Consider the following 14,815-nt stretch of genomic DNA (forward strand, 5'->3'; position numbering starts at 1 on the left):
ACAACTCATAGCCTCACAACTTCACATGATGTCTCACATATATTTAGCACTCAACATGCCCTAAACAAGTAGATTGCACCACAAAGTGGCTCCATCTTCAGTACTCTATCCTGGTAAATGGTGATTACATTCTTCTACTCCATCAGTGGGTGTGGGAGGAGTGGAAATTATTGTTTTTTTTCAAACATTTTACTATCAAGCCATTGGCAAATCCTGAAAGCCTATTGACTCTACCTTTAAAATGTCTAAAATCTAATTTTTTCTTGCTGTCTCCTCCATTTTTACACTAAACAAGATATTGTAATTATATACTGCTATTATGATCACATTGCAAGTGATAATTCTGTGTGTATAGTCTGTTATGTGCATAGTAGTTGGAGAAATCATTTTAAACTGTACATCCAGTCAAATCATTCTTCAGTTCAAAACGCTCCTCTTACTCAGAATACAGTAAAGTTGCTACTGTGTTCTACAAGGATCTAAAATATCCAGCCTGTGATAGTGTGCCCACCAGTGCCCCCAGAGAAAGCCACTGCAGCCACAATTGCCTGCTTCCGTTACCAATATTCCCCAAATGATCCCATTTTATCAGCTTTGAACTTGTTTGTCCTTCTGCCTAGGATTCCCATCCTTATATGCCTCTCTCTTATTTCCACACTTTATCCTCATGTCTGATTAATGTTATCTCACGTTCACTCCACTCATCAAAAGCATCACCCATCGCTGGCACTTCCTATCTAATTTCTCTGTCTTATTTTCTTCATTGTATTTATCACCACCTGACGCACTGTACACTTCTTCGTTTTTAATATAAGTAGCATTCATGTAAAATGTAAGCTCTAAGGGAATCAAAGGATTCAATAGTTTTGTTCACTTTTTGTGTTCATCAATAATGACACCTAATAGTGGCTCGATTCATTTGTTGAATAAATGATTGAAAGGATAAATGTATAATTACAACTAATTAATAAAATAACATTTCAGCTGATGCTTCTAAAGTATTTTCAGATGTATTTAATTTCTTTTGAGTACATTGAGAATACACCATATGTCATCTTCACACCTTAGCTTAAGGCAAATGTTTTTAAAATATATAACACAAAAAAGAAATTCAGCTAAGAAAAATTCTGAGTCACCATAGCTTCTAGGTTAACAGAGGTCAAAATGTTGATATTTTCTCAATTTCAGACAGTTTCCTCTCATTCTTGTATGCTGTCATTGAATTTTTTACCTTAAAGAAGAAAAAATTTACAATAATATACTAAACTCACAGCTATGAAAAACTTGGAGGGAATAGACCTGAGCTAACCCTGAAATCATGTCCTTTGCATTATCATTTTTCATAACTCATATGGTTTAATCCCCTTCAAACAAAAGAAACCACATGGTGCATTAGTGGGTCCACTTAATTTCTATAATCAATTATATTGAAAATATGATATGAAGTTATATGTCAGATCTTGCTGTCATTTCTTTTCACCATTAAAATTGTTTGTGTTTCACATCTGTACCAGTCATTGTAATAAATTTTTAACAACATTTTCTTATATTTTCCCTTTGATATTGCATGAAAGTCCCTGTTAGCTCTTCTTAAATTATTGATAATTCTTAGGTTAACAGGTTTATACTTTCTGCTCTATTGCATTAAAAATGGATTTAAAGCATGTTGCAACATTAACTTAGAATCATTATAGTTTACCCTCTATACTTTGCTCATTTGAATGTCCAAAACAGAAGATAACATGAAAAGAGATATGTATTTCTTTAGTTTAAAAAATAAAAAGGTGTTAGACATTGATTCAGGACTTTTCTGATGGCACTGAGGACTTATTACATGGGAATGTTCTAGTTCTTATCTATCCAGCTGGTGAGGTGGAACATTTTAAAAACATATATAATTTTAAAGTAGTATTTCTATTTTAAGTCATTTATCTTTCTGGAATGATAAATAGCAATATTCATATTATTTGTAGAGATGACCTCAAAACTTCTCATTTCTTCATATGAAGTGAGTTTTATACACATATTTCATTTCTTAGAACTAACTTAAAGTGAAAAAAATTAAGAACAAAATGTTATTTCCAACTACTTTTTTCCACAGTATTCCTTAATTTGTTTAATAAATATACATCACATTAGGTACAGAGAACTTTGTCATGTACTAAGAACACTCACACGACATTGTCTCTATTTTAATCTAATTACAGATGATGACTATTTGTAAAAAGAAAAAAAAAACTTCTAAGTTTCACATACATGATCTCATTAAATCATAACAAAAATACCTACTATTATTACCTTAATTGTATACCTAGAGAAACTGAGCCAAAGAGAAGTTAAGTAATACACTCAAATCAAACAGTTGGTAAGTGCAGAAGATGGAAATAGATATTTGGCCAATTTTCAAGTCTCTTAAGCGCTACAGAGTTCCTTCTCCTTATGGGCACCCTAAGACTGATATTCATACCTTCTTGGGGTGGCACATGAACTATGTTTGTATTCTGACTGGGCAGTTAATTCTTCTGAATTAATTAGAAAATATATGAGCTGAAACTGATAGATGGATGAGTGGTCGAAAAAAAATGCTAGAGAGAACTAGTTAATGTCATTCCCGAGAGAGGGATCACATGCACTAGTAAATGGAGGCTGTTAGGTCCAGAGAAACGTCATATTCAGAATGCATGGCGTGCAGGGTGGAAAACAGCAAGTAAGGCTGTGACAATATGAAAGCCGGAGCAGCAAAAAATAAAAATTTACATGGGGAAAAAGACATATAAGTCAGGGCCACGTGTGCCATACTAAGCAGTTCCATCTTTATTGCATAAGAACGGGAAGTCATGAAAGTTCATTGAGCTGTCTGTGATAGGGGGATGGCTTTAGGCAGGAGAAGAACCTCAAAATTATTGTATGATTTAGGCCGGACTTCATTAAAGCCTCAACCAAGGCTCCTGCTGTGGGGACATAGATGGATGATGTGAGTGGAGGACCAATAAAGTGACAAAGGGCCAAGAAAAGGGAGTTGAATGGTTGGGAGGGAGGGAGATGCTTAAAAAGGTAGAGAATTTAAAAAAACCGTTGCCAGACATATTTTTATATACTCGCACAAGTATATAAAAAGTACGTCTACTTACACTGATCAAGCAAAAAGGTTGAACAAGCAAAAGGGTTGAACAAATGACCCATATCCAGGATAAGAAAGGGGGAACCGCTTGACATCGCAAAGTAATAAAAAGTAATAAGCCATGTTATAAACGAATTCATTATCAATAAATTTAACAACATAAAGGAATACATTCATTGAAAGACACAAATTACTAAAGCTGAATCAAGAGGAAATAAAAAAATCTGAGGAACCCTATATCTATTAAATAAACTGAGCTCTTGATTAAAAACAAACAAACAAACAAACACACACTTTTATATAAAAGCATTGAGTTCCAGCTGGGAACATGGGTGGATTCTATCAATGTATTTTAGAAAATAAAGGGTAAGGGAACATTTCAAATCATTCTGTGAGTCAGGCATTGCCCTGAGAAGCAAACCAGGGAATAACACTACCAGAACGAAAGCTCTAGACCAATATATAAACATAGATGTGAACATTATTAAGAATGTTTTAGCAAATAATACATATCTAAGTCAAATCTGATTTAGTGTTCAAGTACCAGCAACTTAAATTAACTATATTAGTAAAAGTGAAAAACTATACTGTTGTTCAAACTGTTGCTTTTTTTTGAGAAAGAATCATTTGAAAAACACAGCACCCATTTATGAAATGAGAAAACAAGGATTAGAAATAACTTCCTTGACAGGATCTACAAAATCCTATAGCTGAAATTACACAATACCAGCTAATTTGCTTAAAGTCTTCATCTCTAAGTTTAGGCACCCATGTTAATTGGTCATATTCACAATAAATTTTACAGAATAAAATAAAACTTTTGAGATTTCTCAATATCTTTAGTTTTGATTTTTTTATTATCAGATTAATCACTGACTAAATTATTTTAAATTAATTGTGGGTTATACCTCAATAGAGGATTCTATTCTCCTTATTAAGCAAAAACTTCACAGTCTGTTTCATCTGCAGCTTTCATTAGTTATCCTCTTCTTCTCAGACACCTTCCAACCTGCTTTCTCGAAATTAATTTAATCGATATAGAGAATCGACATGCTTCAAGAAACCCACAGTAGGCTCACTCCTGTAGATAAAGCTTACCTCCTCATACCTTCTGCATCAAATTTATAGTCTACTTCTTATATGAACACCAGGCATTCAATTGGCAAGTGCACACATATACATCTTGACAATTTGGACATTTTTTGAGACTTTAAACTTTGAAACTCCTACTCTTCAAGTGGACAACATATCTCCGAGAACAATACTTAAAATACTTCCACAGTGATACAAACTTAGGCTGCTCACAAGAGATCCCAGGAGGACAACTGATTCTCTCTTTATGTATATTTTATAGAAAAAAATTCCAAGAAAATATAGTATGGTAAAATTATCAGTTACCCAAACCACAACCTGGAGTCCTAGAAAACTAATTTTAAGTCATTGACCAGGATTGCCATAGAGCATGGCATTTGCCCGTGCTTTCCCTTGACCAGAGTAAGAGATATGTGTATTACAGCTCATACTTCTTGCTGCACTTTTATAAATAGCACTATCTAGGTAGAAGCGTCTATGAGTAGACTAACAGAAAATTATACTGAGATCTTTATAAAACAACCAGCTGAACTTGGAACACATTTTTTGTAGTCTGGATGTAGGAGTATAGGTCTTTGACTCATTTTATTTTTTACAAGGACTAATAATTATTTTCCTTCTTGTCATTCCCTGCATTGCACTGGGCCATATGTCCTCAATTTACAATAGGCAGAGATCATTGCATTAGATCATTCCACAAACAGAACTCCAAGAATATTTACACATTTACCCTAAAGGCTTATGCAGTCTCCTACCTCAAAACTGCTTAGGACCATAAATGAATAATCCAGGAAAACTCCTGTTGCTCCTAGCTGCTCATGGCTCTTAGGCTCAACCCTTGGGATTGGCCCTCTGAATTTTCTCGATCCCACAGTAAAACATGAAAGAAGAAATCAATGACACAGAAAGGAGCTTAAATTTTCCCATCCACGGCTTTTCTTCTGGTCCTGCTGGGCTTTCCACATACTTGAAACAGCGGCCACAAAATGAAAAACTTCAATGAAGTTTGAATAGTCCATTGAATTAGAAATACCTGGATGACTCAATCAGAGAGGATGAAAATAAAACATGAGAAGGATTTCAATTAATTTTTTTCTTCCTCCAGAAATCTCAATTCATAAATACATGCGCTGACCCGTATCAGAGGCCTTCTCTTACAATCAGCAGTGAGGCAGAGAGACTAGAGTCTTTTTTAATGGTTAGGGTATATATATGGCATTGGAGTTGCAGAGAAAGTGTGAATTAATTGATATGAATGTTTAACTTTCATAACGAAGTTAGTAAAATATATTTCTTAAACCAAACCTTTGCCTAATGAGCTTGCACTGAGCTACCAGAACTAATCTAAAATTTCAATTGACCATTATCACACGTGCAGGAGTCATTCTTCTTCCCAGTCCTCCTGGAATGTCAATGCTCTTATTTGCAATGTTATGAAGATCAATGGAATAATTTGTATGTGATACCCTGAGTTTCCAGGGAGAAGTTTAAGCAGAAAGTGGTATTATTAATTGTTATATTACTACTCATTTTGGCCTCATTTTCAAATGAGATGGATGGCAGTAAGCTAAAAGACAGAAAGTAAAATTAAGTATGAGCTGCTTCATTAACACTTCTTAGGTTATTTTGTAACACTCCTAAATCTTTTCTAGTTCAGTGTTCTTTCAAGTGCAAAGTGCCCCTCACTTTTAAACTCTCTGTCTTTTTTTTTTTCATTCAGAGAAAGCAGAAAAATATAATTATGAAGAGCTCAACCTCTTCCCCCTCGTTTATTCAGGATATCGGATTCTGGATCACAGTTTCCCTCTTTATGTCCTGTTTTCTGGAGCATAATTATTTTTGTCATGAATCCCCAGCACCCTCACCTAGTCTAAGATTGCAGTCATTTCTTATGTCAAATGACCTCTTAACTAACAATGTGAGATCCCACACAGCACATGCACGTGCACGCAAACACTTCCGCTTCAAACGCTTTAATTGCAGAGAACACGTTTCTCCTTAGGCCTGTTCCTTCTGATACAGCCTCATTTTTTTTCCTAACATTCTTTTGCTTTGTCACACAAACTAAGATCATTCCTTCAGTATCAGGTCACTCATCCCTTCCATGCGCAGTGTTCTCTGACCTTCTGAGTTTTCGTCGATTCATCCTATTATAGTACCTCATAGATCATGGACCCTTTCTTCGCAGAATGGACTAAAGTTTCTGTGTTCATCTGCTCAGGCTGCCGTAGAATAATAGCACAGACCAGGCGGCTTAAAGAACAGAAATGTATCACAGTTGTGAAGGCTGCAAGTCCAAGGTCAAAGTGTCGGCAGGTTGGTTTCTAATGAGATCTCTCTCCTTAGCTCGCAGAGGCCGATTTCTTGCTGTGTCTCCACAGGGCTTTTCTCTTTGAGCACATCCCTAGTGTCTCTTCCCCTTCTTCTAGGGACACTAGTCATATTGGATCAGCGCCCCATGCTTGTGACCTCATTTGACCTTTATTACCTTTTTAAAGTCCCTGTCTCCAAATACTGTCACATTGAGAGTTAAAGCTTCAATTTATGAATTTTGCGGGGGAGACAATTCACTTCGTAACAGTTAGTGATATATATATATATATATATATATATATATATATATATATATATGCACTCACACACGCACACACACACACGTACACATATATGGAATACTTAAAGTCTTCCTCATCGTAATAGTATAACACCATTAAAAAAAGAAAAGTTCATTATTTTAAATTAACTTTATCTCCGTCAATTATCTCAGGGCCTAGCTCTGACTAGGCACTAAAAGAAAGAAACAAATACATAAATAAAGTTGATTGGATAAATTGATGAGTAAATTAATAAAGGTTAAGTATGATAACGTTGGTGAAGAAAAATGCATTCTAATAATTAATCAACAACAATCATTTACAAACACCTTTAAGTTAATGATGAATGCATTTTTATAAGGAAGAAATAGCTTTACACAAACTTAGCAAGTCAAAATATTATTTCTAAATAAGGTTTTTACATAGTATAACTAATATGCAAATCTTGGTGTTTTAATAAAATTAATTATTAGTTATTTATAAATAATTATTTTAAATCAGATTAAAATGCTGCTGTGTAAAATCTTTGTTAAGAAAAATATACTTTTCAATTGATTTTATAGTTCCAATATCTATAATATGAAAATATGACAATGATAAAATATAATATAAATCAATCTCACCTGAGAGTGCAAAAGTTGACATACAAAATAAAACATGAAAAGACACTAGAAATAAATTTTAAAAACATAATACAGAAAATTCAATATAATACTATGCAAACAGGATTTCTTTCAGAAAGACTTTATTAAACCTTATAATTAAATTAAAATCTGTGATTGTTCACTTGCCTCATAAAAGGTGCATTTGATTTGCTCTCTCCACGGAAGAGAGATGTCCATTTAAATAGAGAATTCATTTTCACAGTTCTCACAACCCAAGATAAACAATAGCATTTTATATTTCTGGATATAAAAAAAAAAAGGAGCTAGATCATCCACTTTGAGATTCTGCTTAAAGTATGCCTAGTGTCTCTTCTCCTGATCTGTCATGTCTACTGACAAATCAGGGGACATCACTGCTTGTTACATCCTCTCTTTTCCACTCTTAGCCACAGTTCCAGCATTGCTAAATAATATTCCTAATGGATCACGCTCTCTGTCATTCTGTCCAGTTGTGAACTGATTCTTTGTATAGAAAACAACTATGGCAGTACTTTTGATTCAAGACATTGACTTATGTAAAACTGAGTGTGGATCATGTCTGATTAGCATCCATAGACCACATATTCACTTGTCTGGAAACAGGTAACAGGTTCCAACAAGACCATATAATGGGAGAAATCTTCTAGTGTTTGGAAGTGATAGCATATGTGTGTTCTGAAGTCAGACCATTAACTTTCTAGGCTTTGTGATGTTGGATAAGTTATGTCATTATCCTGTGACTCAGTACCTCATTTGTGAAATAAGAGCCATAACAATATTTTATCATAGAATTTATGAGTATTAAATAGGTAAAATATGAAAAATCTGTAAGACAGAGTTCATCAGGCATGCAATCAGAAGTATGTGCACAGGCACAGAAATATTAGTTGTTATTATCTAATTCAAAGCCAAAATGTCTCCAGAATAATGACATAACTAGATTTCTTTGGACAGTAGTAAAGAGCTAGATTCACTGCTGCACATAAGCCTGACTTGGGACATTACTGTGTCCTTTTAATTTGTTATATTCCTTTTTATTTTTTAAATCAGACTTGAGTGATTGCTTCAATTATAAAAGATATAATAGACTTAGGTGTTCTGATGTTGTATTTGGGAGAAAATCAAAATTCATTAATCAACCACATTAGCCTGATTTAACTCTCTAGCTATGATCAGCTGTGTAAAAATGTTGGCAAACATCCTACCATCTCCACAACATGATGATGAAAATGCATTCACATTAAAATATCCCTGAGAGGTTAGGAAAGCTCTCTTGAGAAAAATCAGTAGCAACTTTTGATGGTTCTGTCTTTTGCTTTAGCAGAAAGAGCACATGTAATTTCAGCAAAGGAATAAAACCACATTTTAATCATTGAAGATTTGGAAAAAGATTTTAATAAATTTTATAACTTTCTGTAAATTCTTCAATTTAACAATAGGTTTATTTAACATGGTAAAGAACATATTTATATATAATAATTAAACCCAAAGGCATTCCTGATAAAATTCCAAGTAAAGAAAATGAGGAACAAAAAGTAGTTCCTAACTAGTATATTAAAATATTTGTATCGGATTATATATCAGAGACAAACAATAGAACAAGATAGGCAGTTCAGGAAAAAAAATCTTTCTATATTTGAAATAATAAAAATTATTCTGTCATTTGGTCCAGTTGTGAACTGATTCTTTGTATAGAAAACAACTATGGCGGTACCTTTGATTCAAGACATTGACTTAAAAATTTGATAGTATATATAACTGGATAAGTTATTATTCAATTAATTATATTAAGGCAATTGATTCGTTAGAAAAAATGTAAAGATTAGATTTTACTTTAGTGTAAAATGCTTGTGAGATAATGTTTAATTATGAAAGTGGGAAAATCATAATAAAATTAAGGAGATCATTGCAAGCTCTTGAAATATGAGAGAGCTTCTTAAATAAAAAACCAATGGGAGAATTTAAGTAAGATATTTGGTAATTATTCCAAATTAAAAAGTAAAAAATAAAATTTTCTTATATGAAAAAATTAAAACTAAAATTCATATTTAAAGGCCATATTGAGATTAAATATCTGCAGCAAACATAACAGAAAATAGAAATACCCTTATGATATTAGTAGCTCATGAAAAGCCTAAGAAAAATCTAATCAAATGATGTAACATAAATGAATAAATAATAAAGCTTTTTTTTCTTCCGAAGCAAATATAAAAACAACTGAACTAAAACAAAAGGTTGAACTCTTTCAGATTGCTTTTGAATATCCTTTCATTTTTGTTTGTTACACAAAATGTATGGTTTTACAACCTGTCTGGGACCTACTTCAGCAATTTTTATATTGTTTGAGCTAGTTATACAACTTTATTCAAGATAAACAATAGTATAGTTATTAAGGAAACTATCTTTGCAGAAAGTCTCCCACCAAATAGTTATGTGACATTGTAGAAATTATTTATCCAGTTTTGCCAACTGCAAAGTATTCATAATACTTTTATCTACATTAGTGGGTGGTTTGGGATATGACAGTATTGTACTACAAAAAAATATATAGTATTTACTTATTAAGTTACATTTTCAAACACCGCATTTTAAAAGATATTTACAGTGTAGATATTTTGTATCCTTTGTCTTCCTACTTTATGATAAAAGTCTGCAAATGAACTTGTTATAAGGCACAGACACCACACACAAAAACATGCACTCACATTCCTACACTCACGGAAAATTCTGTACTGTGTGTTTAGAGGTCATTTTTATTTTCTCTTTATGTTTATTTTGTTTCCAAAATTTCCATATATTTTGTTTTTAAAAAATATTCCATAGTAGCATGTGTAGTATACTTATTGAGTCAGGAAATAATATCAATCAATAAACTTTCCAAAGACGTCTCTTTGTTTTCATCTTTGTTTGCTGCGTAGTAATTAAAGAGTAAGCCAAAACTAAAATTGCCTACTTTTTTTTTTTATCATAAGAGTCCATATTTACTTCTGCCATCTGGAAATGTGGTTTACCTACACCACCAAGAGCAGCAGATCATAATCCAATGAACTACCATATGTGACAGAATTCAATATTATTCCAAAATGTTGCATAGTAAAATTTTTGATTGTGTGCAGTATTGTACCACCTGCATTGTCACAAAGAGGTATTTCCTTTGTTTTTTTCAACAATGAGATCATTCATGTTTTATTTTCCTCGAGGATATTAACACTATAGTTCATGTATTCTCCAGTTATTTGAACAGATATGCATTAAAGTTAGTCTAAGATAATTTCTCCTCCGACCTGCTACCCAAAGGAACTCTATCACTACACGCAATAGTGATCATATTCCTTAAAACAATGCAGTTCACTTCAGATATGACTTTCTATTTTGGAACTGCACTTTTACCAGAGAAAAGAGAAAACATCTTTATGAATATTTGCATATTATGAAATATTGTATTTGGAATATTTATGAGGAAAAATACCCACACACTGTTTTTTGTCAAAATATTCAAGTTATGTTGAGATTTGTTTGTAATTTAGCAAAATGTAAAGTCTCCTTTCTCTTTTGATGAAACTGTTAAGATACATATCTTGGTTATAGGGTGAATAATAAGATGAAAATCTCCCTTTTCCAGTAGTATAGGTAGAATGGTTGCTGCCCTCAACAGCAGAATTATTTTTCCTCACTTTTCATCTTCTTTTCTTTTTTGATGTGAGAGCTTCTCATCATTTTTATCACTGCCGCATGGTGAGCTGTGGGTAAGCATGGCCACAGGATCCCCTAAGTGGACAAAAACGAAAATCTCACAGGGGTATAAATAGAGAGATTACTCCAACCCTGACAACAAAATCTCAAAGACAGAAAATTTAATTCTTATTTTATTTTATTTTTTTAAGGAAGCATATTTTTAATCAAAGTTCGTTGGACCAAAAAAAGTCTATAAAGTAAATTAATCCAAGGTTGTTTTTTTTTTAAAAAAAGACTTTATTTTATTTTATTTTATTATTTTATTATTATTATACTTTAAGTTTTAGGGTACATGTGCACAATGTGCAGGTTAGTTACATATGTATACATGTGCCATGCTGGTGTGCTGCACCCATTAACTCGTTATTTAGTGTTAGATATATCTCCTAATGCTATCCCTCCCCCCTCCCCCCACCCCACAACAGTCCCCAGAGTGTGATGTTCCCCTTCCTGTGTCCATGTGTTCTCATTGTTCAATTCCCACCTGTGAGTGAGAACATGTGGTGTTTGGTTTTTTGTCCTTGCGATAGTTTACTGAGAGTGATGATTTCCAATTTCATCCATGTCCCTACAAAGGACAAGAACTCATAATTTTTTATGGCTGCATAGTATTCCAAGGTGTATATGTGCCACATTTTCTTAATCCAGTCTGTCATTGTTGGACATTTGGGTTGGTTCCAAGTCTTTGCTATTTTGAATAGTGCCACAATAAACATACGTGTGCATGTGTCTTTATAGCAGCATGATTTATAGTCCTTTGGGTATATACCCAGTAATGGGATGGCTGGGTCAAATGGTATTTCTAGTTCTAGATCCCTGAGGAATCGCCACACTGACTTCCACAATGGTTGAACTAGTTTACAGTCCTACCAACAGTGTAAAAGTGCTCCTATTTCTCCACATCCTCTCCAGCACCTGTTGTTTCCTGACTTTTTAATGATTGCTGTTCTAACTGGTGTGAGATGGTATCTCATTGTGGTTTTGATTTGCATTTCTCTGATGGCCAGTGATGGTGAGCATTTTTTCATGTGTTTTTTGGCTGCATAAATGTCTTCTTTTGAGAAGTGTCTGCTCATGTCCTTCGCCCACTTTTTGATGGGGTTGTTTGTTTTTTTCTTGTAAATTTGTTTGAGTTCATTGTAGATTCTGGATATTAGCCCTTTGTCAGAAGAAAACCTAGGCATTACCATTCAGGACATAGGCATGGGCAAGGAATTCATGTCTAAAACACCAAAAGCAATGGCAACAAAAGCCAAAATTGACAAATGGGATCTAATTAAACTAAAGAGCTTCTGCACAGCAAAAGAAACTACCATCCGAGTGAACAGGCAACCTACAAAATGGGAGAAAATTTTCACAACCTACTCATCAGAAAATTTAATTCTTAGAAAATAAGCATTAGGTTAGATGTTGGAACTTCTGAAAGAGCATAGTTTTCTGTGTTAGTGTAAATGCTAATTGGTGTTAATGTGCTGGCAAAAATAAAAGGCTCTGAGCACATGCTGCATTTCTGACAAACATTATCTGTCAAGTCTTCTGATTTTTGGATGCCTTGCTATTAGAAAAGACAGAATCAGTGGAGCACATATTTTACACACCCACATCTTCACAGTGCATAAATTTTGCATTGACGGTTATCTGTTTCAGAAATAAACAAATGTAAAAGCAATCTTGAAACCAGGCCAAGCCTGTTTCAAGCCTTGTCTTACTTGTCTTCCCAGTGAAACCTATTGGCGTAACTATGGCCACTGCAGTTCATAAGAAAGCTGCCCATTACTTTTCATGTATTTTGTTTGTTTGTTTTAATCTCACTGTTTTTATTGATTAGCTTATACTTAGATTTTATAACGTAGTGGTTGCAGAGATATTTCATAGAGGCAGCAAATCTTTTGAATATGTTTCAATTCTTCAAATGGGACAGAAAAAATGTCATAAATTTGGCATAAATTTAGCTCACTTGGTCTTCTCAGCTTTACGTCCTTTCTGGAATAGGTTTAGCCTGAATCTTCATGACTTTTTTGGACACTATTTTCCCTGTATTTGCCAAACTCATGACTTATCTCAGTCCCAATGAGCAACCAGGTGAAACCGGCCCAATTGTCCCATAGAACTGATGTTTACAGTTTATTTGAATAAACACAGAAATTGACTCTCCCAGTCTTAAACTTTGAGAAAGTTACATTTGCCTTATCTGAGTTCCTTTATCAGGAAACCAACCATCAAGGCTCCCAGATAGTATCAAAGAACTTAAACTCACCCAATCATATCACAGTATCTGTAAAATGATCTGCAAGACCCTTCACTTGTCATGATGGCCTAACTGACCATCCGCTTCCTGTTGACCCACTTCTCTTCCTTACCACTCCCTAATTCCTGTTTTCTTGCATGTAGTTATATTTTGTCCCTGCTCTACAAACCACTAATTTTAGTCAAGGAAATGGATTTGAGACTGATCTCCCACCTCCTTGGCTGCAGCACCCAATTAAAGCCTTCCTCCCTGGCAATACTTTTCTCAGTGACTGGCTTTCTGTGCAGCGAGCAGCAGGGCCTAGACCAAACCCCTGGGGTTTTGGTAACACAGGCTCCTTATGTAAGAAAGAGAGTCTAATTTGAAACATCAAAGACATAATCTAATTCCAGATATAGTAAAGAATTTGCTGTCAATTGTGTTAACATTTTTCTCTGCGTGTATGTGTGTGTTATGTGTGAGAGAGAGATATGCCTATTTATGTTATCTGTTACTTTTTGGTGACATTTTCAGTGAAATTAAAAAAATCACAACTCCTTTTTTTCAGTTTTCCTCTCTGTGCCAAAGAATAGCTTCTCAGCTAAACAAAATAACAGACATTTATAATTTCAAATTATACTCTCAGTCATATTCCTTCTGTAATTTTCATGAGAGATTTCATGAATTATCTTGTAAAACTGAAACACACATAATAAAATTACTTGACTAATTTCTAATATATTTGGGATTGTAGCTAGAATAATAAGAGATTCTTTTAGGGCAATTACATAGGTCATGCATAAAGTCCAGAAATAGATGAATAAACAATTGACATATATGGTCGATTGATTATTGATCAAGGTGTTAAGAATATTCAATTTGAGAAAGAATATACCTTTTTACAAGTGGTTCTGGAATAACTGGATAGTCATGAAAAACAATGAACCTTTATGAATACATTGTGACATAAACTAAATCTTATTTAAAACAAGTGGATCATAGGCCTGAATATACAACCAAAATCTCCGTCTAAAAGAAAAAAAGTATCTAATAGAAAAATATAAAACAAATACATTGCAAACCAAGATTAGGCAACGGTTATCTCAATAGAGCATAAAATTATGATTCATAAACAGTTTTATAAATTGAACTTCATAAAAATTGAAAACATGTTTTTTGAAAGAGAATGTTAATAAAATTAAAATGCTAGTCACAACTTGGAAGAAAGTATGTGCAAAATACAAAATTGATGTGAATTTTTATAATTCAATAATAAGATACACCCTATAAAACTGGGCAATAAATTGAAGACACTTCACCAAAGAAGAGATATAGAAAGAAAATAACCATGAGAAAATAATGTTTAAAATAAGTTGTCATTAAAAAAATTAAAACCACACTT

The sequence above is a fragment of the Homo sapiens genome, chromosome 18 (genome assembly GCF_000001405.40).
Source record: "Homo sapiens chromosome 18, GRCh38.p14 Primary Assembly".
Taxonomy (NCBI): domain Eukaryota; kingdom Metazoa; phylum Chordata; class Mammalia; order Primates; family Hominidae; genus Homo; species Homo sapiens.